Source organism: Homo sapiens, chromosome 5 (assembly GCF_000001405.40).
Source record: "Homo sapiens chromosome 5, GRCh38.p14 Primary Assembly".
Classification (NCBI taxonomy): Eukaryota; Metazoa; Chordata; class Mammalia; order Primates; family Hominidae; genus Homo; species Homo sapiens.
The window spans coordinates 133,726,755-133,747,584 of record NC_000005.10 but is presented as its reverse complement, the minus strand read 5'-3'; the positions used below and the strand labels follow the sequence as shown (position 1 = coordinate 133,747,584).

At 46.1% G+C, this 20,830-nt stretch overlaps 1 protein-coding gene across 1 annotated transcript in view, besides 2 other annotated features; it reads left to right on the top strand.

The window, feature by feature from the left end:
* FSTL4 (follistatin like 4) overlaps positions 1-20,830 on the top strand; it is a 645,613-nt gene that overhangs the window by 94,483 nt on the left and 530,300 nt on the right. The window lies entirely within an intron of this gene.
* Positions 3,889-5,088: an enhancer, noted in NCBI's record as "BRD4-independent group 4 enhancer chr5:133078188-133079387 (GRCh37/hg19 assembly coordinates)". NCBI's record gives its function as "activates an origin of replication core promoter dependent on BRD2, P300/CBP, MED14 and CDK7 cofactors, and independent of BRD4, by STARR-seq in HCT116 cells {active_cell/tissue: HCT116}" and the evidence as "EXISTENCE:reporter gene assay evidence [ECO:0000049][PMID:35650434]".
* Positions 11,881-12,081: a silencer, noted in NCBI's record as "peak5468 fragment used in MPRA reporter construct". NCBI's record gives its function as "represses an SCP1 promoter by STARR-seq MPRAs in K562 erythroleukemia cells {active_cell/tissue: K562}" and the evidence as "EXISTENCE:reporter gene assay evidence [ECO:0000049][PMID:32103011]".

Below are 20,830 nucleotides of genomic sequence, written 5' to 3'. Positions count from 1 at the left end.
ATAGACTTTGGGAGCCTCATGTTGGATTCATACTTCTAGCTGGGGTGGGTAGGCTGAGCCAATTTTTTGTGAGCATTGAATCTGGGAGAACCCGAGGTCTCTGTACAATGAGAGGTTGCTACTAACAGTTCTTACTTTGGGTTATGGGATTTGCCATCAGGATTGATTAGCATTTCAATAAAGGGTCACTAAATTACCGGGTGCCACAGCTCTGATAGAATCACTGGATTTGGGTTCGCTGGGGTAGTACTTTAGCTTCCACAGGCCTGCCAAAGCTAGCTGAAGTTAGGAAGGAAAACTTAAATTTTTTAATTAAGAATAATTTCCTTGGCAAATTTAGTGCATTGATCTGCCCCTGTGCCCTTGGTTTCTCAGCCCTGCCTTCACTGTACCCACTGCTGCAAAGGGCAGGAGGTCCCAGGCACCAAAGTAGGCCTGCAGGAGAAAGTCCACCTTACAGCAATAGAAACAACAGGCGGGGTGGCATGAGGCCATCAGCCATGGCCTCTAGGCTGGGTGCTCTATGGCCGAAGAGAAGCTTCTCATCTCCCCTCACAGTGCCCCTGGTGGCCAGGAGGAGTCATTGGGGGCATTTCCTCCAAGCCCGTCAGGATGCCTGGGCCAGTTAGCAAGCATACTTAAGTATGCTTGTTACTTCATCCCTCTGGATAAATATCCTGAATGAGTATTCTCTCATCTGCCCGGTATTCTCAGAGCTAAACCAGGCAGTTTAGCAGTGGGCAATGATTGGCTACTGTTATTTTCAATGGTTAGATTTGCTGTTTTAGGCAAAAACATTTAGACAATTAGGATAGACCTAAATGTCTTTCCAGTTTCTCTTTGCTTTCTTGGTGAAAATGGAATCGCTTTTTTTGTATAGTGGCAATGTCTTTTTTGCAATACCAGTTTCTGTCTATTCTGGTTCTTGTTCATTTAGCTTGTAATTGGTGTTTCATTTGGTCATTGTGAGCAGTTTGTCTGGCTTTCTGAGCCAGAAATTATTTTTTCTGTCTGAGAAAAAATTATTTTTTCTATCCAGAGTGAGTCCCCTCACTCTGGAAACCTTTCTGCTCACTATTTCTGGAAAGCACTTTTCCAGATTCGGAAGACAAACTGATTTACATGATTCAGATATAAAGTACATTTTTTTTTGCTTTGTAAGTTTTCAGTTTTCCTTCCTAAGAAATGTAGAAATAGCTGTCTGCTCATGCCCATCTGAGAGAAGGACAGGACCACGTAGTTTCATGAACTTTTGTTTATAATCTCCACTAGGCTAAAAAAGAGAAAGAGAATCACACACGTACTAAAGTGTGCTTGCTAACTGATGTGATCTTCAGAGTAATATATTGTTTGCTTTTGAATCCATGATTTGCAGATCTCAAATCTTTTGAAACATGGTGACAAGACATCCTCTAGGACAAAGCCTCATTGTGAGGTTTTCAAGGATAATAGGGCTGTCTCAACTGAGTGGAGTCCTTAATATTAATTTTCTTTGTTTTATTTTCTCAGGCGTTAAAAAACTTGTTTTGCCTAATTTATTAGCATTCATTTCTAGGCTTTGAAAATGAGTCCTTCTTTGAAAGGAGAGTTTTAAATTTGAAATATGAGGCCTGTATCGTGGTGCCTTGAAATCATTAACTGTCCCTTCAATATTAATTGCAGGTATATCCATCACGGGGAACTTGTTTGTCATTAACGTGAGGGGGACGCAAAAGCAAAAGCTCCTGGAACCCCTGCAGGGGTAATGTTGTCACTCAAAACTTTGTTCTGGAATCGATCTAACCTCAGAAATGGGCTGTACCTATTGACAAAATGACAGTTCGTAGTTTTAACAAAGCTGACAAGTGGCAGTTTTAGCAAATGGAATGGAAGTTGGTTTGTGGATGAATCTACCAGGCAGCTCTGGCCCTGGGCAAAGTTTTTATGAATGAGTCTGATGAGGCCAAGAGGTCAAAGGGCAACCTGGAATCCCTGTATAATTCCACTTTTCTGCCAAGGATCTAGTTCATTTGCAATTCAGCCCACCTGCTATACTTGGCCCGCTTAGGGAAGGCAACATTTGTGTCTATTTGGGTCTCTGGCTAAAAGAACATTAATCTATATATACACTATGTGTGGATTTATAAATTTTACACAGCCCTCTACCCCCCACCAGCAGCTTCTGTGGCTGACTTCTTATGTGCTTATTGAATTATGTGCTATTGATTCCCTGCTAGAGCTGGTGGCTTTTCACTTTTGCCCTTATTCAGCTGTTTTGCCTGTTAAATTCTAATCTGGGTCTAAAACATTTTCCAATAAAGGCAAAGCTTGAGGATCATCCAGTGGGAAGGGAAGCTGGGTCCATAGAAGGCCCTTGGCGTATTTCCATTGAAAGGGCTTTGCCTGTGCTGAGGAGCAAGTGCCCTCACTCTGGAAACCTTTCTGCTCATGGCAGGATGGGCTAGCAGTGAGTGTCTCTTTTTAAAAATAGGTTTTTGTTTCTAAAATAAGCACCCTTGGTTTCTGACAGGATGTCATCTTCCTGGCACAGACGGGAAGAAGGCCAGATCCGGCTCCTCATTCCTGAAAACAAACAGCCTTGATCCCATGGCTGATAGCAGTTCCTTGCCTCCAACTCCCAGCCTGTCCCTTTGATGGACCAGGTAGTTTTCTATGGTGATGCAGACCAGGTATGGGAGTATCCAATTCACTTTACTTTTCAATACATTCAATCCAGCAAACACTTGCTGAGTGTTGGCTCTGTAAAATCACCATGGAAACCCAAGTGGAATCTTTAAAATACTCTAAGGAAATTGTTCCGAGTTCCCACGTCCCACCGACACTTCAGTGAGCAGGAAGGGTGCATCTTAGTCCGGTGCATGCCTGCTTGCATTCAACCTGAATGGCAGAAAGGGGGATACAGATGGAGGAAAATGTGTAAAGCTGATGATATGGCTTTTTGTCCTGGGTGGTGTAATATTATGCTTCCAGGGAAGAAGGGTGAGCAGACAGAGCTTTGATTTCCACCGGAGCAAAGAGATGAGTTTAGTCACAGCTGCCTCTGCTCAATGGTGTCATCGCCCACACACTCTGTACCAGGGCAGGACCTACAAAGGGATGTCGTGGTGCCTAGTGACAGCCTTGTCTGCAGCACCATGCGGCACAGCGGGGGCTGTGGGCTACGGAATCACAGAGCCTGGATTACATGGGGCGCTTATCACACAGCAGGAGCTGGGCTCATCCCTGACGCAAGGACTAGAAACCACAGAATCATGGTCCTGACTGGGGTCTTAGAGGAACGAGTGGATTCCATGAGGCTTGTTTTTAATAAACACAGTAGTTTCAACGGTGCTTACAGAAGTTCCAACTTAGAAAAGGGGAAGATGTGGCTTTGGCATTTAAGATCATCATGATGGTTATGAATCTTTGGGTTGCAGGTGACTCCCCTCCCTCCTCCCAATCAAACTGGCTTTAAAGCATGAAGGAAATGTGCTGGTTCAGTGAATAAAAAAGTCCAGATGTAAGTTCAGGTGAGGACTGATCCAGGAACTGAATGATGTCACCAAAGACAGTTTCTTTCCTAGATGGGCCTCCGCTGGCTGCCAGCCACTCCTAGGGCCGTGGGCTTCTTCCTCTATGTCTGGCAGGGAGTAGAAACATTTATATCTCAATTTTCCCAGCAGTCCCTGAGATTCACTTTGACTGGACTGGCTGGGGTCACCTGACTATTCCTGAACCAATTGCTGGTGGACAGAAGGAGCTCGTAAGCTCCATCTTTGGGGTATGGGAACCAAATGGAAATCAGGAGCTGTTAAAGCGGGTTAGATTCAGAAAGGCAGGCAATGAATATTCATCACAAAAAAGACATGGCTGAGTTTACCCATAGCTTTGCCTGCTAGTATCTTGTTTACAGATAATTATAATGAAAAGAGCTTAGGTTCCTAAATAGCAGTGGCTACCATTTATTTGAGAATTTACCATTAGATCTTAGAGAAGACAATATGTTAATCACTTCATGTGAATTGCATTATTTAGTTTTTGCACAAATCCCTGAAATTGTTATCTTCCATCATCATCAATCTTTTCGTACAGGTAGAGAAACCAAGGTACAGAGAAGTGAATGGATTTGCCTAGAGTCACAAAGGCAGCAAACAGTAGAACCAGCAGTTCAGCCCCTGGTCTGTGACTCCAAATCCATGCATTTAAAGGTACCGTACCAGAACCACTATGTTATACATATTGCAAGGTGAGGATTTTCCAATGACAAACAGTTTGAATATTTTTACAGGTTTTTCTCAAGAAATGCTGTCCAAATTCCTGGGTTCCAGGTCTGTTCTTGTCGTTAATACACCTTAAGACCTTGGGTCTTTGCCTTCTCCTAGTCTCAGCTGCCTCACTTACGAAATGAGAGCTTGGACTCTGCAGTCTCTCAGGTCTTTCCCACCTTCAACAACAGCCCAGGGCCCCCTGAGTCTGAGCTGTACTTAGATTTTTTTCTCCTGAGAGGCAGAAGGAATTTTTTTCCCTGGTATATTTCTTCCTAGGAGAGATGATTGCTTTGATAGGCTCTTGTTTTTCCCCTAAATGAAAGAAATATTCAAATATTTTCTTTGCTAATCTCAGAGAATTGAAAAGCCACAAACAGTCACACCCGGGGATGACTTTCCGGCGGGATGACGGTAGATCTGCCTGAAAGACGTCACCAGGCAGTCCGGGGACTTTGATCTCCACCGCGCGCTCCTGTCATTCAGGCAGGCACTCTGCCTGAACACCCCCAGCCTGCTATGCTCCTTGTTCCTTCAGGGACACCACAGAGCCCACATGGGTCTCCAGTTCATAGGATCAGATGAAAGCACTAACCCCCTCACACCTCCTCAGCCTCCAGAGGAGGAAACAGTTTAATTTTCAGTAGCTTGTTCTGCCTATTATCTGGTTTTGCCACGGTGTCCTTTCCACCTCTCTGTCTCCTTAGGGTCAGCCCTCCGAGAGCTGAGGACCTTTCATGGTTGAGGGATAACAGGTACCCACATACGTCAGTATACTGCTCTGTATTACCAACTTGGTGTTACTGCTGAAAGGATGCCCAGTGACAGTTACATCTGAGCTTTCACTTCCTCCAGTTATGTAGGTGTCTCTGTCACCAATCTTGAAAATAGCTTTTGTTTCCTTATATATCACCTCCCTTTTAATTTGAAGGACATTGATTTTTTTCTCTCTCTGTATACATCTTCCTTGTGGTTGTAAATGTCTGTGCTTAGCCAGTGTCAATGATGCCATCAGGGCTTTGGGAAGCTGGGGTTTGGGGGCATGAGATGACACTTTTGATGGTGGCTGGGTGTACCTGGCCACATGTCAGTCTGCTCAGCATACTCCACAGGGCGGCCCTGCTAGTTTCTTGGCATCATGTGGCCAACCATCAGGATGATTGACTATGTTTGTGTTCAAATTAATGAGCTGCTGTGTCACCATGTGGACCCGCCAAGGGTAAGAGGGTGCAGGGGTCCATGGCACTGATGTAGTGACCCCATGCAAGAAAGCCATATGGGCTAAATGCCACGTTTGCATTTCCCTCTGGTGGGGCCAAGCACCAGTTCATGCAATGTTGGTCCTTCATGATGGAGGGCTGTTTGTCCTGGGGAGGTGATGCCTCTAGTGGGTGAAGAGTCATGCAGTCTTTCAAAGTGGTGAGAAACCAATCTGAGTTCTGAAGCCTGGTGCTGAATGTCTTCTTGAGGATAGAAACATCTCCTAAACCATGTTTTACACTGCCCTCGGTCATGAGAGCTGGCAGGGAGAGGCCCCACTGACTCCTTGTGCCATTCTGTGTTAGCTTTTGAGTGCATGGCCTGTGGACAAAGGAAGTGCCTCAGGCCACAGCACAGTGCGGGGAGTGTGGATACATGAGTTTTACTGTGACAACCTTGAGCCTCATGTTTCCCACTTGGGCAGAGAGGCCTCTGTGTTCTCTTAGGGCTTTCTGGCTCTTGCTGTTCATTGTGTGATGTAGTGGATGCTCTTGGTCTTGTCTTGGCCACTTTTCTTGCCCCCGCTCCCATTCCCTGGCTGCTATGGGTGGTTGCTGCTCACAGGCTGCGGTTCTCTAGGAATCACCCTCTGCCGAGAAAGTTTTCCCACTTCCTGCACTCTTGCATGGGGAGACAGTCCATAGCCAGTGACTGAATAACAAGAAGGCACAAAAGGCCAGGCCACTTTCCTCAAGGTGGGGCTGGCCTTGAGGGGCAGTTTGTGCTTCAGAGCATGCCACAGAGTTGGCTGCAGCCAGACTCCAGCTGCAACCATGCCCTTGTTCTACCCATCTTGCTCTTTCATCCCCCTTTCTTGATAATATTTGCTCAGTAAATCACATAAATCCAAATCCCTGCCTTAGGTTCTGCTTCCGGGAATATGGTTTAAGACACTTGGTTGACCAGGATTGTGTCATCGGCATAGGCGTGTCTGGAAACCTATTAGCAGTTGTTGGTGGGGGTGTCTTCTATTCATTCTAGTTATGCCAACCCATTCTCTTTTTTGCCTGGTTACCCTTGCTCTCTTTTCCTCTCCTTTGGTGTTTCATATGCTTGCAATATACCCACCTGCCCATCAATTCATTCATCCATTCACCCTCCCATCCATCCATCCATCCATCCATCCATCCATCCATCCATCCATCCAGAGGCTGACTTCAAACTCTCCCATAAAAGGAAAGATTAGGATTCAGATTCTGCCCAGATGGTCCTGCACGGGGCTACCTAACCCTTCTAGGCTGGCATCTACCAGGGTGGATGCCGTTGCTTCCAGCCAAGAAGAACAGCCACCCAGAAGTAGGAAATGGCCCTGTGGATCCAGCACCAACACACCTTTAGTCCATTCTCCACCATTTCATGAGCTTGCTTTTCAGAGGCTTGCCACCTGCCCCTGGCCACTGGCAGATGCAGGAGAGGGAGTGTTCTTATAAATGGTGTAGAGAAAATCGAGGTGAATGATCTGGCTGCTGCGTGAGTGCTTTATTGATTACAGAGCACCAATCAAATTAGCTGTCAGAAGAGAATGCAGATGGCACCACGTGGAATGGATTTTCTGTATCCCCTAACTGCATTATTTCAATCAGCAGGTCAACAACACGTGGCCTGCGGTGAGGAGTGGGGGCGGGTTGGCACACACTATCTGGGCCAGGCTGGGGGTATGGGTTTGAGTGTCATATGTATTTTAATATCAAGATCGAGGGATTAACAAAATGGGCCTGGATTGCTTTATGGATTAGATGTGGGGCCAGGGGCAGGCCTTAAGACATGTGCTTATAGGAGAGAATGCCTGCCCCACTCTTAGAGTTTGATGTGTCAATCCCAGGTGTAAGGAACTTGAAACAACTGTCTTCCACCTGTCTAAGGGGGTATCACTTAGAACTTAAGAGCTTATGTTTCGGACTGGGTGTGGTGGTGCATGCCTGTAATCCCAGCACTTTGGGAGGCCAAGGTGGGTAGATTGCTTGAGTGCACGACTCTTGAGACCAGCCTGGGCAACATGGCAAAACCCTGTCTCTACAAAAAATACAAAATTTAGTCAGGCACCCTTGTGGTCCTTGCTACTTGCAGGGCTGAGGTGGTGGGATTGCTTGAGCCTGGGAGATTGAGGGCACAGTGAGTTGTGTTTGTACCATTGCACTCCTGTCTGGGTGATAAAGCAAGACACTGTCAAAAAAAAAAAAAAAAAGACAGAGCTTATGTTTCATTATGATCTCAGTTCTCCTCCTTACTAGCTGGGAGCTCTTTGGTGGGCTACTTAACCTCTCTGAGCCTGAGTTTCTTCATTTGTGCAGCAAATTTGTACCTTCTCCACAGAAGGAAGGTATTATTGTAAAGATTAAAGGAGATCGTGTATTAAAGGAGATTGTGTATGCAACGTGTTTAGCACAGTGCCTGGGACGTGGTTGGTGCTCAGTAAACATGAGCTTTTCCTCCGAGGGCCTAGGCCTTTCCTGAGGACCCTTGAAGATTTAGGCGGGCTCCTAGGTTACGCTGTGGGATGGCTGGCTTAATGATGGAGAAAGACCCAGTTGCATGATTTCTACTCATCTCAGAAATTCTCCTGTCAGGGTGGGTGAAGTTCAGATCTGACTCTCCCTCTGATTGGGTGAGATAAACACAGATTTTCCCAAAGACCCAGTTGGGCAGAGCCTTGATGTTCTGCTGGCAGTGGGTTCCTTTGTAGCTGTTCCTCGCCTGCGACTCCCTACGTGGTGCCTCCTGGCGGGCTCACTTTGATGACAGCACAAGGCCTGCTCAATCACAAAACCACTTAGTGTTAAAAAAAAAAAAAAAGAAAAAGAAAAATCAAAGCCCTCATTGGTTTCTTAGGCTCTGTGTGGCAGGTTTTTGGATCATCAGCAGTTTGTGATTATTTGAGGTTCTCCCTCTGGGTTAGAGTATTTCTGTGTAATTGAGAGTTGAGTCTAATAGGAATTTGGATTTGGTGCTCAGTAAAAAAAATCATAGGTGCTTTGTAGGCAGCTGTGTAGCCATCCTGTTGCCTGGCAGCTGTGGGCTCTGAGGGGCACAGCTGCTTCCATGAGGGGGTGGCACTGGCTCAAGGCAATTGATCAGTAAACCCCAGCCTAGTAAGGCCCACAGCAGCAACCTGTGCAGCCCCCAACCAAGGACCCCTACAAAGTTCTGGATGGAAAGAGTGAGAGTAGGAATGAGGAGGAAGTGTGGGTTAGGTCTGTGGGGCCCCAGCCTTGGCTCTGGTGCCTTGTTGAAGTAAAATCTCCATTTTTCAGCAGCTCTGGGCCCAGAATGGCATCCCTGACTCCTACACGCAATGCTTAGAACTCTGGGGTCTTTCTGGCTGTCCATGTTGTGGTCACTTGCTCCCGTCATCTCTCAGCCCCACCTGAAAACTTGATCCTTTCTTAGGGGAAGTGTACTACCTCCCCCAAGATAAACGAGGTGGCAAGCAAGGGGCAGCCGTAAGACAGCATCAGGGCCTGAGTTACTACCTAGAGAGGCCACAGAAGTTCTTTGGGTCAGAAGGAGAGCCACTCTAGTGTCCACTGCCATGGCCAAGCAGAGTGGGGTGGTGCATGCAGGGGAGGGGATCTGGAGCCTGTTCAAGTACACAGGCTCATTCATGTGGTCCATCCTTAGGTGCTGAATCATATACGTGGCCTTGGCCAGGCCTGTTCAGGTTGCAGGAGGAGAGGGAAAAGGCTCAGACCACGTCCTGCTCTACACTCTTCACAAGTGGAGACTGAGGTCTGAGTTATGAAATGCTCTTATAAAAACACAGACACACAAACAAGCAAAACTTGGTAAGTTCACAGTTCAGAGCACTGAGCTCCTCAGAGAGAAAACTCCAAGGAAATTGAATTAGGAAGGCTGTAATCCAGTCAGTCTCTGAGCTCTGGGACTGCATATTGTGAAGGACAGAGAGAGTGATGTTGGGAGGTAGAAGTCCAGCGATTCTTTACATCTGGCTTGGTGGGAGCCACGGATGAAGACAGGCTGGCTAGGATGCTGATGGAATGTTTCTACTTAATTGAACCAGAGACAGGTCCAAGCACGTCCCAAGAGCTACCTGATAACCCTGAGCCCGGAGAAACAGGCACTGCTGGGGAGGCCTCAAGGGTGTCCTCAGCCCCTCCTTCCTGCACACAGTAAAATCCCCATGTTCATTACCGGGCATATACCCAAAAGAAAGGAAATCAGGCCGGGCGCGGTGGCTCACGCCTGTAATCCCAGCACTTTGGGAGGCTGAGGCAGGTGGATCACGAGGTCAGGAGTTCGAGACCAGCCTGGCCAAGTTGGTGAAACCCCGTCTCTACTAAAAATACAAAAATTAGCCGGGCACAGTGGCAGTCACTTGTAATCCCAGCTACTAGGGAGGCTGAGGCCTGAGAATCACTTGAACCTGGGAGGTAGAGGTTGTAGTGAGCTGAGATCGCACCACTGCACTCTAGCCTGGGTGACAGAGTGAGACTCCGTCTCAAAAAAAAAAAAAAAAAAAAGGAAATCAGCCTATCAAAGAGATGTGTGCACTCCTATGTTTGTTGCAGCACTGTTCATAATAGATAAGATTTGGAAGCAGCCTAAGTGTCCATCAACAGATAAATGAATAAAGAATATGTGGCACATATACACAGTGGAGGACTATTCAGCCGTAAAAATGAATGAGATCCTGCATTTGCAACAACGTGGATGGAATGGGAGATCAATATGTTAAGTGAAATAAGCCAGGCACAGAAAGACAAATGTTGCATGTTCTCACTTATTTGTGGGATCTAAAAATCAAAACAATTGAATTCATGGACATAGAGAGTAAAAGGATTGTTACCAGAGGCTGGGAAGGGTAGTGGGGGGATTAGGGGAGGTGGGGAGGGTTAATGGGTACAAAAAATATACCCATTTTTTTCTAACTATGGTACATAGTTAGAAAGAATGAATAAAACCTACTATGTGATAGCATAATAGGGTGACTATGGTCAATAATAACTTAATTATACATTTTAAAATAATTTAAAGAACATAATTGGATTATTTGTAACTCAAAGGATAAATGCTTGAGGGGCTGGATACCCTGTTCTCCATGATGTGCGTATTTAACATTGCATGCCTATATTAAAACATCTCATGTACCCCATAAATATATATACCTACTATGTACCCACAAACATTTTTTTAAAAAAGATCCCCTTGTTCTCTGTGGGCACGTCTCCAGCTTTAGAATGCACACGTCTCCCACAGCCAGCCTCTCACATTGCTGGACCTATGACTGACGCTGACAAGGCTGCAGTCCATCTGCAAACCTGTCTCCTGCTGTTCTGGGGAGCCATGCTGCAGGTTGGACACCAGCAGGCTGCAATGCAGTTGAGGGGCTGCTCAGCAGGGACCCAGGCACCAGTGCCTTTGGCTGTACGTCCTCAGCTTGTCTCATGTCTGCTCCCTCACTTCTCTCTCCACTGTGCACCCCTGGTTCACAGACCCGTGGTGTCTCTTGTCTGGACTGTGAGGCTGCCACCTGCTCCTTGTGCATCCAGGTTGGTGGCAAAAAGGGTCACAAGTCACAAATGACTGACCACTAAAGGACCAGTGTTTCAAAATAATTTTCTTTTTTTCAGATTAGCAGAATCAAGGTTGTGGCTTTAAATCTCATGTTCCTTCTGCTGTTGCTTTAATGGAAGACAAGAGGTACCATTCCAGGAAAAGTTAGGGGAATTGCAGCCTCTCTTCCCTCCTTCAGAGCCTGTGATTCAGAGGTATCCATGGGAGTGGGTTGTGCATGAAAGTAATTAATGCCAGAATTGAAGTAATAACTGGTATCCTGGACTTGAAAACAACCTCTAACAGGCCTTCTTACCATCAGTTCTGCCTCTTCTAGTCCCTTCCCTGCACTGTGGACAGAAAGGTTTTTCTGGAATACAACTGAACACATCCTCCTTGGCTTCCTTTTACCGTAGGCCAAGGCCTATACTCCTTGGAAGCCTCCTCGGCATGGTCTGCAAGGCCCTGCACAGTTGGTTCCTGGTACCCTCCATCCTCCAGGCACTGTGCACATCCTGCCTCCTTGTCACCTGATAGCATCCATGCCAGGGATGGTCAAGTGTAGGTAACAAACCTTTCTACCCACTGTCATCTTCCTCTGCATTTCAACATCAGAGACTGGAGACTTGTCTTACTGAGTCAGAAAATGGGTAGTGGAGAAGTGAATCCTAGTTTTCACGACTCTACCATGATGCAGTTTTGTTTTCTCTCTCCTTCTTTCAGGAGAGCTGAAGCACTAGGGCAGGTTTTCAGGAACACATTTATCTTATGCTTAGGACCATACAAATGGAGGGGTCATAACAATAGAATCCACATTGTTATAGAGACGTGAGGTCCCTCTTCAGCTTGCAGAGGCCTCGCATTGCTTGTGAGAAAATAGACCCACGCTAGCAGGTTGGTAAATATGTTTTTCTATTTCTATAGTTGCAAAGAAATCCTCAGACCCTTGTTAACAGACTATGACTCAGAAACAGGAAGGCAGCCGCAGCGATTAAAAATGGCAAAGGTTGTTTGGGGACAGGCAAGTGTTTTGGTGAAGGGAATGACAAAGGAAAAGAAAAAGCCATCGTGAGGAATGAGCTGTGGCCTGTTTTTTGTTTGTTTTTTTAGATGGTGTCTCGCTCTGTCACCAGGCTGGAATGCAGTGGCACGATCTCGGCTCACTGCAACCTCTGACTCCCTGGTTCAAGTGATTTTCCTGCCTCAGCCTCCTGAATAACTGGAATTAATAGGCACACACCACCATGCCCAGCTAATTTTTGTATTTTTACTAGAGACGGGGTTTCTCCGTGTTGGCCAGGCTGGTCTTGATCTCCTGACCTCGTGATATGCCTCCCTCAGCCTCCCAAAGTGTTGGGATTACAGGCGTGAGCCACTGTGCTCGGCCGGCCTTTTTTTTCTAAATTCATGTTGGTTGTGGGATGGGTCAGGCATGAGGTGCTTCTGGGGCTTGCCAGGGGACTCCCTTCTAATGGATGTTTGTGAAGAGGGACTTTCCTTCAATGCTGCAAGGCCTGTTGGGAAGAGGGAGAGCATGAGGGGCACTTTGTGATAAGGAGCCTCCTCGCACAGTCCCATGGGGCCCCCTGTTCTTTGAGTTCCTGCATTGCACAGCCCGCTGTTCATTCTCACTTGTTGACCCATGATGGTGAGGGTTTACGTACAAGATGCTCCCTCTGAATGCAAAGGAGTTGGAGGGAAAAGGTGACAGACATGGAAAGGCAGAGAGTGGAGATCTGACACACGGATAACCAGGATCTGACACAAGGATAACTTGCTGAAGAGAGCAGAGCAGAAGAAATAGAAGAAATAAAGATATTATAGAAGAAAACACTGGGCTGAGAAATGAGACATGTATACAAATTGAAAGGGCTCACCACGCTCCAAGCAAGATAAGTGAAATGAGATCCATAACTAGCTATAGCCTGCTAGCATTTGAAAACAAATTATGAAAAATTTCAAACATACACAGATGTAGAGTGTTAGTGCAATGACTCCCCATCGTGTGCCTGTCACCCAGATTTTAAGTCATCAAAATTTTGTCACATTTGCTTCATCTATTCTCTTGTCTTCTCTCATTCTTTTTCTCCTTTCCCTTGGTTTTCTTTCTTTTAATTTTTGCTGGAGTATTTTGCAGCAAATCTCAGATAACACCTCCACATATTTTGTACACATATGTAAAAATGTGGGCATTTTTCTCATATGGCTACAATGCTATTATCATACCTAGTAAAATTAACAATAATCTTTGGTACTGTGTAAGACCTATCCATAATATAATTTCCCTGACTGCAGGATGCCTTTACAATTGGTTTGTCTTAGTTGTGATCCAAACAAAAGTCTCTATGTTACATTTGCTTGCTATGGTGGTTTTAAGATGTTCTCACATTTTTGGACACTCTTTCCTTCAGAGGATGGAGACTCCTTCCCCTCCCCTTGAATGTGGGCTGGATTTAGTGACTTTCTTTTATCAGAGAATAAGGCAGAGGTAACAATATTTGCATTCCAAGGCTAGGATATAGAAGACACTTGGCTTTACACTTTGTGCTCTCTCAGAGAGTTCTCTGTTGAGGAACCCAGTTGCCATGTTATTAGGACTCTCAAGCAGCCTGCAGAAACGTCCACATGGGGAGGCACTGAGGCGTCATGCCAACAACCAGTATCAATGCTCCAGCCATGGGAGTGGGCCCACGTGGAAGAGCATCCAAGCCTCGGTCAGACCTTTGAATGAGTCCGCAGCCCCAGCTCCCATCTTGACTGCAACCTCATGAGAGACCCAAGCCACTGTGACTCAGCTAATCTACTTCCAAGCTCCTGACACACGAAACCATGAGCTAATAAATGTTTGTTGTGTTTTAAGCACTAAAATTTGGAGTAATTTGTCATGCAGTGATAGATAACTAATGGAGTTGTTATTTTAATCTGTTTTTATCTACAGAACACCTTTCCTTTTATTATTATTTTTTCATGCTATAGAAATAGAGTCAGTTGTTTTACAGAATGTCCCACCATCTGGATTTTTCTGTTAACTTCCATATAGTGTCATTTAACTAGCTCTTCTGCCTTTTCTATTTCCTGAAAATGGAAGTTTGCTCTAGAACCTTGATTTGGGTTCAGTATTTTTGGCCAGAATACTTCACATGGGGGTGTTTTGTGCATGTGATTATGAATATCAGGAGGTACCCAATGTCTAGGTATAACACATATAGGAGTGTTAATGTTGATCAGTGGGTTTCAGATGGTCGGGCAACATTTTTGAATTTCAAGGACGGAGGGCAAAATTCTACCTACATTGCAAGCATGTAGTCAGAAAAACTAGATTACCCACCATGAGATATACTGGGAATCTAAGAGTGTTATAACCAATGAAGCTGGTTTTTACATGTGAGTGAAGACAACAGAATGACTGATTCCTATGTACAAAAGTTCAGAGATATGTACCACATATATTTCTTGGGGGAAAACTACCTTGAGGATAAGTGCCATTTATTTGTGAATTCAACAAGTATCTGAGAAACTCCCATGGGCTGAAGCACTATGCTAGGTGGGGGTCAGAACTTGAACTGTTCAGGAAGGAATGCAATTACGGACTTGAGCATAGAGAAGCCATGTGTGGCATGAGGGGTCTGGTGGACCTGGAACCAGTGACACACAGTGAGAAGTCAAAGCCGGCAGCATCCATCTCCCTGTTCACTGGCTGGGTCTGGATATTACTCTGAGCCACCTCAGGTGGCCCCTTCATCAGGGGTAGCCAACTGGAAGTGGGGATGGAGAGCCCGGGGACCCCTGCACTGTGGGCCGTGCAGGCCTGGGCTCTCAATTCACTGCTGCCGGAGGGCCTGGACCTGTGGAAAAGCAAAGAGGAAAGCAGTGGTAGTGGGCAAGCGCAGGATCTGGAGCTGGGCGGGCAGTGGGAAGTGTGTGACCGATGTAAGTGGGTGAAAAGGGGAGGCCGGGAGGAGGCTGTGCAAGGGGTAGTCAGCAGTACTGGTGAGATGGTAGTTTTCGCTGGGTGTGGGTGGGGAGACGAAACCTGCTGACGGATGGGCTTTCTGGAAGTTTCTCACCCTGTTCCTAGGGCTGGACTAGGGAAGTGAAGGGCAATTAAAGCATCTGTGGCACAGACAGGCTCCAGAGATGTGCAGGGAGTAATTTAGATGGCACCTACTGGAGTGTCTCCAGCCCTCTGGTTCTGCCCAGTGTCTCTTCTGGGAGTTCTAGGGTCTGCTGATTGTGGATTGACCCCCTGTGCAGGGCCATCTTCCTCGGGGCCCACAGTGCAGGCCCAGTGAGGATCAGTACACAGGCCCAGGTTGGTACCTGCACCACACACCTCCCCTTCTTCTCACTCTAGTAAACAAGTTCGGGGGCCCTGGGTGATCACAGACTACCTAACAGGTTTCCTGCTCCTCAGAGCCTGTGTGGGGCCTGCCTGATAGAGATACCTGGCTCTAGATTGACCTTAGCAGGGTCCTACTCTTAGGACAGAGCCATCAATCCCAAGTGCCCGGTGGGAAGCACACAGGTTGCTTGTGCCTGAGTCACTGGGGACCATCCTCAGCTGGAGGGAGTGGGCATTTATCAGATGATGCCTGAGCTGGACCTCTCCTGCCCTCTGGAAAAAAGGGGCTGGTGAAGCTTTTGAGTATCTAGAATCTTAGAATAAGGGAGAGGAAGGAATGCCAATTTTAGAGATAATTAGAAAATGCTTATTTCTTTTGGAGTAAGTCTCTGACCAGATTGAAAGGAAAGCTGCCAGCACCCCAGCAGTGTCTGTCTGCTTCCTCTCCGGTCAGCAGCTCCTTGCACCTTGGGGGATGCTCTGTGACTCAGTAGGCATCCCACTGCCGGCCGGCAGCCCCTCTGTCCTGCTTTATCTTTTTTCCCTTTTTGTTTATTGCTACTTTCAAGGGCATAGTATAAGGATAACTGTGACCCTCTGACTCCCTTGGCCCCCCACCCAAGCCAAGCTCTAAATACCTAGTCTTTTTCCTGCATATGTGTAAACTCCCAGCCTATCATCTCTCTAAGAAGCCTCCCTCCCACTTTCCAGATTCTGTATGAAAAGAGAACTGGACCATGTGTTAGAGTGTTTGTGTTTCTAGCTTGCTGTGTGGCCTTGGGGTATCTCTTGACATCTGGTTCCCTGTGATGTTCCCCTCTTAAGCCTACTCTCCTTCTCCTGTGAGATGTGGTTTCTTATGTAGGCTGCAGTATAGATGGGTTGAGACAGGGTTTTGCATCTTTTCCAGAGTGTAGATGACTTGCTTTTTTTCCATCCCTGTCTTCAGGCCAGGGCTCGTCCAGTCGAGTCCTGTCCAGACCACAGTACGAATGGGTTATAATTGGAGTTTCCATGGACACAGATGACTTGATCACAACCTCCCCGAGAGAGCTTTCCAGTGTCGGCCCCGATATCAGGCAAGAAACAAGTGCCCACCCTAAATCGTGCCCAGTGTTTCTTTACCCCTTTTCTCTGCTGATTCTATAAAGGGAAAATGGGCCAGTTCTCTGCCTGCCCCACATACAGACTGCCTGGGATTTCTCAAGCAGATCAGCATCAGAGCGGCCATCTGGCCCTAAAATGTTCTAGTCAGGTCCAGAGTCTGCATCCATTCCCCAGGGTCTACCTCCCATCTCTCTTCTTCTCTTGGACACATCCAAGGCATTAAGCACCCCATTCTTGGTTGTATTTCTCACTCTTTTTTGTTTGTTTGTTTCACTTTCTGCCTTCCAAGTTCTACTGTGTTCTCTAATTGCTCCAGAAGCCAGACAGATGGGCTGGTTTCTTTAGCCAAGATGAAATTTAAAAATCATCTCAAAGTAAATGGAGGCTCAGATGTGTCAGTTAACTTTGCATGCCTCTCCTCGATGGCTGGTTTGCCATCACAGGAACTTTCTGTTTTTAATCAACCATCTGGGCCTGGCCATATTTCCTTCCAGAAAGCGTCTAGCAGCTTTGCTGGACTTGATGAAGGACACCGTTGTCCAGGTATGGCCAGCTGGGATGTGAGTTCTCTAGACTTGTGTAGAATCAGGAGTGATTTGGGCTGGGTCTGGCATACCAGGTCATCCTTCCCATCATCGTGCAGCTGTGGGACCCGAGGCCTCAGAGGGCAATGTGCTGACAGGATCACACAGCTGGGAATAAAAGTGAGGTCTCCTGAGTCCCGTCTAGTTCACTTTCATTCATGTCAGGAAGCCTGACACAGAAGGGGCTTAATAAGACACAGTGAGAAGAAAAATAGTTGGCTCTTCTTTAAGAAGAATACAGAGAATCTTGATGAGGGGACACAGTTGAGAGATGAGAAATTTTACTTCCTCCACTTTGGAACTCTCTGGCCACTGCCCTAGAGATAAGGAATGGCACAGTTATATCTTCCCACATGACTTTAATATCTGCCTTCAGTCTGTCCATATATGGGAAATCAAGTCCAAAAAGGACTGCTTCAGCCAGGCTAACCTCACATCAGTCTCCTCAGGCTCCCACAATCAAAGTCAATTTACTAGTCAACTATCTGAGAAGTGGACAAGCAGTCTACCAGATGGCAGGTGGCCACATTGCGTTTTCTGGGGCCATGAAACTGCCTGAATTGTCTGAAGGTTGTTTGGTGAGTCCAGAATGAGAGTCAAGAGTGTCAGGTGTCCTCAGGGCTCTTCCCACTGAGCCTGCCCTTCCGCTTGAGAGACTCGTTCCTCTCAAACCCAGAGCCAGGTGTTTTCAGAACCTGGCATCTTCTCCTCAGGATTGGGGGGTGGGGTAATACAAAGGGCAGGACTCTCTAGATATCTCCTTGCCTTCTGAATCTTATACTCTTGAAATTTTCCTTCTTTTTCTTCTTCTCTTCTCCCTCATTTAGTAAGGTGGGTTGGTGGTGGGTAAATTTGCCATTTAGCCTGTAGGTGGTAGAATATTGAGGTGGGAGGAATGAATGTTATCCAGAGATCTTGGGCTTGAAGTTAAATGCAGTAACTAGAAATGGTTTGGGGCTGTTTCCTTTTGAGAAGAGATGAGATGGTAATACAATGTTAGGTGTTGGGGGGATTTTAAAAAGTATATGTGGAAAACCTCCACAATTAATACTTATTGGGCACTCCAGATACTGTGCTAAAATTCCATATGCATTATTTATTTAACCCTCCCAGCAACACTTAGTAGGGATATTATACCTGTTTTACAAATGAGGAAAGAGACGTATAAAGTTTAAGTAGCTCTCCCAAGGTCATGCATTGGTCAAGCCAGGATTCAAACCTTGACAATCTGCCTCCAAAGCCCTTCAGTTATATGGCTGCCTGGACAGGGGTATGAGTGTGTGTGTGTGTGTGTGTGTGTGTGTGTGTGTTTTCATAAATCTACATATGCAGGAATTCATGTGCCAGGCAACCAAGGGGTCGTATGTGATGGGGTTCTTTTATTTCCTTGATAAGAGGACCCCTCTTGCCTTTCAGGAACCTTTCCCCACCTAATTCCAGAAATTGTTCCTCTCAGCTTCAGCATGTGGCTGAACTGGGCCTATCAGACACTGTCTCCTGGCCTTGGAATGTAGAATGCAGTTTTCCTCAGAGCTGTTCCCCAAGGTCATGGCCTGGGAGCTCATGTCACTCAAGGCAGTTCTTGGGCCGATTTATTCCTGTCTTTCTGAAGACCTTTGACTAGCTGAGCTACACTTTATCCTTCTGATAAATTCCTCTTTTTCTTTTCTTTTTCCTTTTCTTTTTCTCTTTTCTTTTTCCCCCACCCTCCCTTCCTTCTCTTCCTTCTTTCCTTCTGATATACATTGCTCACAATTAAAGAACACTATCTGATACTCTCCCTACCTCTTTTATTTGGTTAGACATCCGATCTGACTACAGACCATTCTGTCTCCAATCACTTCATACCATGTTGCAATTTCCAAGGAGAAATGTACCACATTGAGGACTATCATATTTCATGCAGGCTGATTCCAGTTCCTCTAAACAAAAGAGTTTTCCTTCAGGAATCTAGGAATCATATCCTCCTGCCAGTTGCATCTTTTTAGTCCTATCCCTTGATTTGGAGGTGTCTTCTTTAGGAAGCATGAAGTCCAGCTTCCAGTGATAAAGGTGGATGGACCTTATTTACCCCCAGCACCTAGTTTCCAAATCGTATGCTAGTGTGGGTACTTCTGAGGTTTTCTGGAGGCTACTTCCCTGGTTGAAGGTACACAGATCTCCAGGCGTACTAACCACAGAGGTGCTGACTGGGATACATGGCAGCTCTGAACCTGTACCTGGGAGACTTTTGCTTCTGCAGGTTCTCATTGTAGGTCCTTGAGCATTGGGGACCATTTGGCTATGCAACAGTTATTTGCTGAGTGCTCAGAATCTGCTATGTGCTAGTGATGATCCCTGTTTTTGTTCACATTTCTATCTCAAATAGCTACTCCCAGGCTTGGAACAGTACAAATCTGTTGAGTGGCTGTAAAGCACAGGTCCCTGTAAACAGGCTGGAATGCCATCTCTTCTACAGGCCCTGTCCTTGTGCTGGGTCAGGCTGGGCAGCTGCTACTGTCATCTTGGCCCCTTTTCACCTCACCCTTCTCTCCTTATATGCACAAAGGGCCAGCAAAACCTGTCTGTAAGTTACTGATGCTCCTCTCTTTCCATCCTTTTTCCACTACCCTCAGTTCCTAGTGGGGCTTCAAGACATGGTGATAGGTGTCCTCAGGCCAGCAACAGCCCTCGTGCTCTTGGCTCCCCTGACGCTGCATCCTGGAATCCTTTCCTGTTCCCAGGCTCTTCACTGTCTTCATGGCACTGTGTTCCAAGGGTTTATTTCAGTTGTCTGAAACAGGATGGCCACTGATTCATACTGAACTTTCTGTTTTACTCTAGTGTGGAATGGTTCCAGGATTCAGATGTGAGCAAAAATCTGTGTCCTGCTTTGCAGTCTTCCTGGACTTAGAAGCTAAGATGTTGGCTGGGCCTTCACTCCTTTGACCCTGAAGAGGCTCCTTGTCCTACCTCAACCTTGTAGGGCAGTCTCTCCCAGTCCCTGGGCTCTTGGAGAAATTATTGATCAATTGTCCCTTTACAGTTAGCCTCACACCACAGCCCTTGGTGACTGGTCCCCAGGTGTGCCCAGTGGGAAGATGGGTGGAATGTTGATGATTTTCTCCTGCTGCTCTTCAGGATGCATTTATTATATAGATACAGCTTCAGCAAGAATGACAGCTTCAACAATGGAAGAGGATAACTTTTTTTTTTTTAAGTTTAAACTAGTGTTCTGGTCTGTCTGCAATGATTCTTTAACCCTTCAGGAAGTAGCTGTCTGAATTTCAGCTTGCACTAGGGTCAAGCTAAATCTTATAGTCATTAAAATGCCCTTTGTTGTTGCAAAGTTTGCTGCCTGCTGGAGCTTTTCCATTTCATTTTCTGTCCTGCTACTTCTGAACATTGATTGGTCTCTGGGTCCCTGCATCTTCTCTTTGTCTGGGACATAGTTAGCTCTGGATGTGGGATGTGGTTTGTATGATGTGAAGACATGGTTGAGAATAAAGTGATGGTTCCCCACCTGCCACCCGGTTTTCCAATGCATAGTTAATACACCGACATGCCACGGTCTCCAATTTGCAGCTCAGGAATAATTCAAACATTAACATAGGAGGATCCAGACTTTGAAAAAAATGAAAAAGATGCTTTTATGTGAAACAGAGCTTTATCTTGCATGTGAAGTGGCGATATGCCTATCTTAATTTCGTTCAGCAAAGGATGGGAGCATAAGAAAGAATTGTTCAAACTGGTTTTATTTTCATTATTTGAAGTCTGATTGGTTTTACAAATTAAATCGCTTC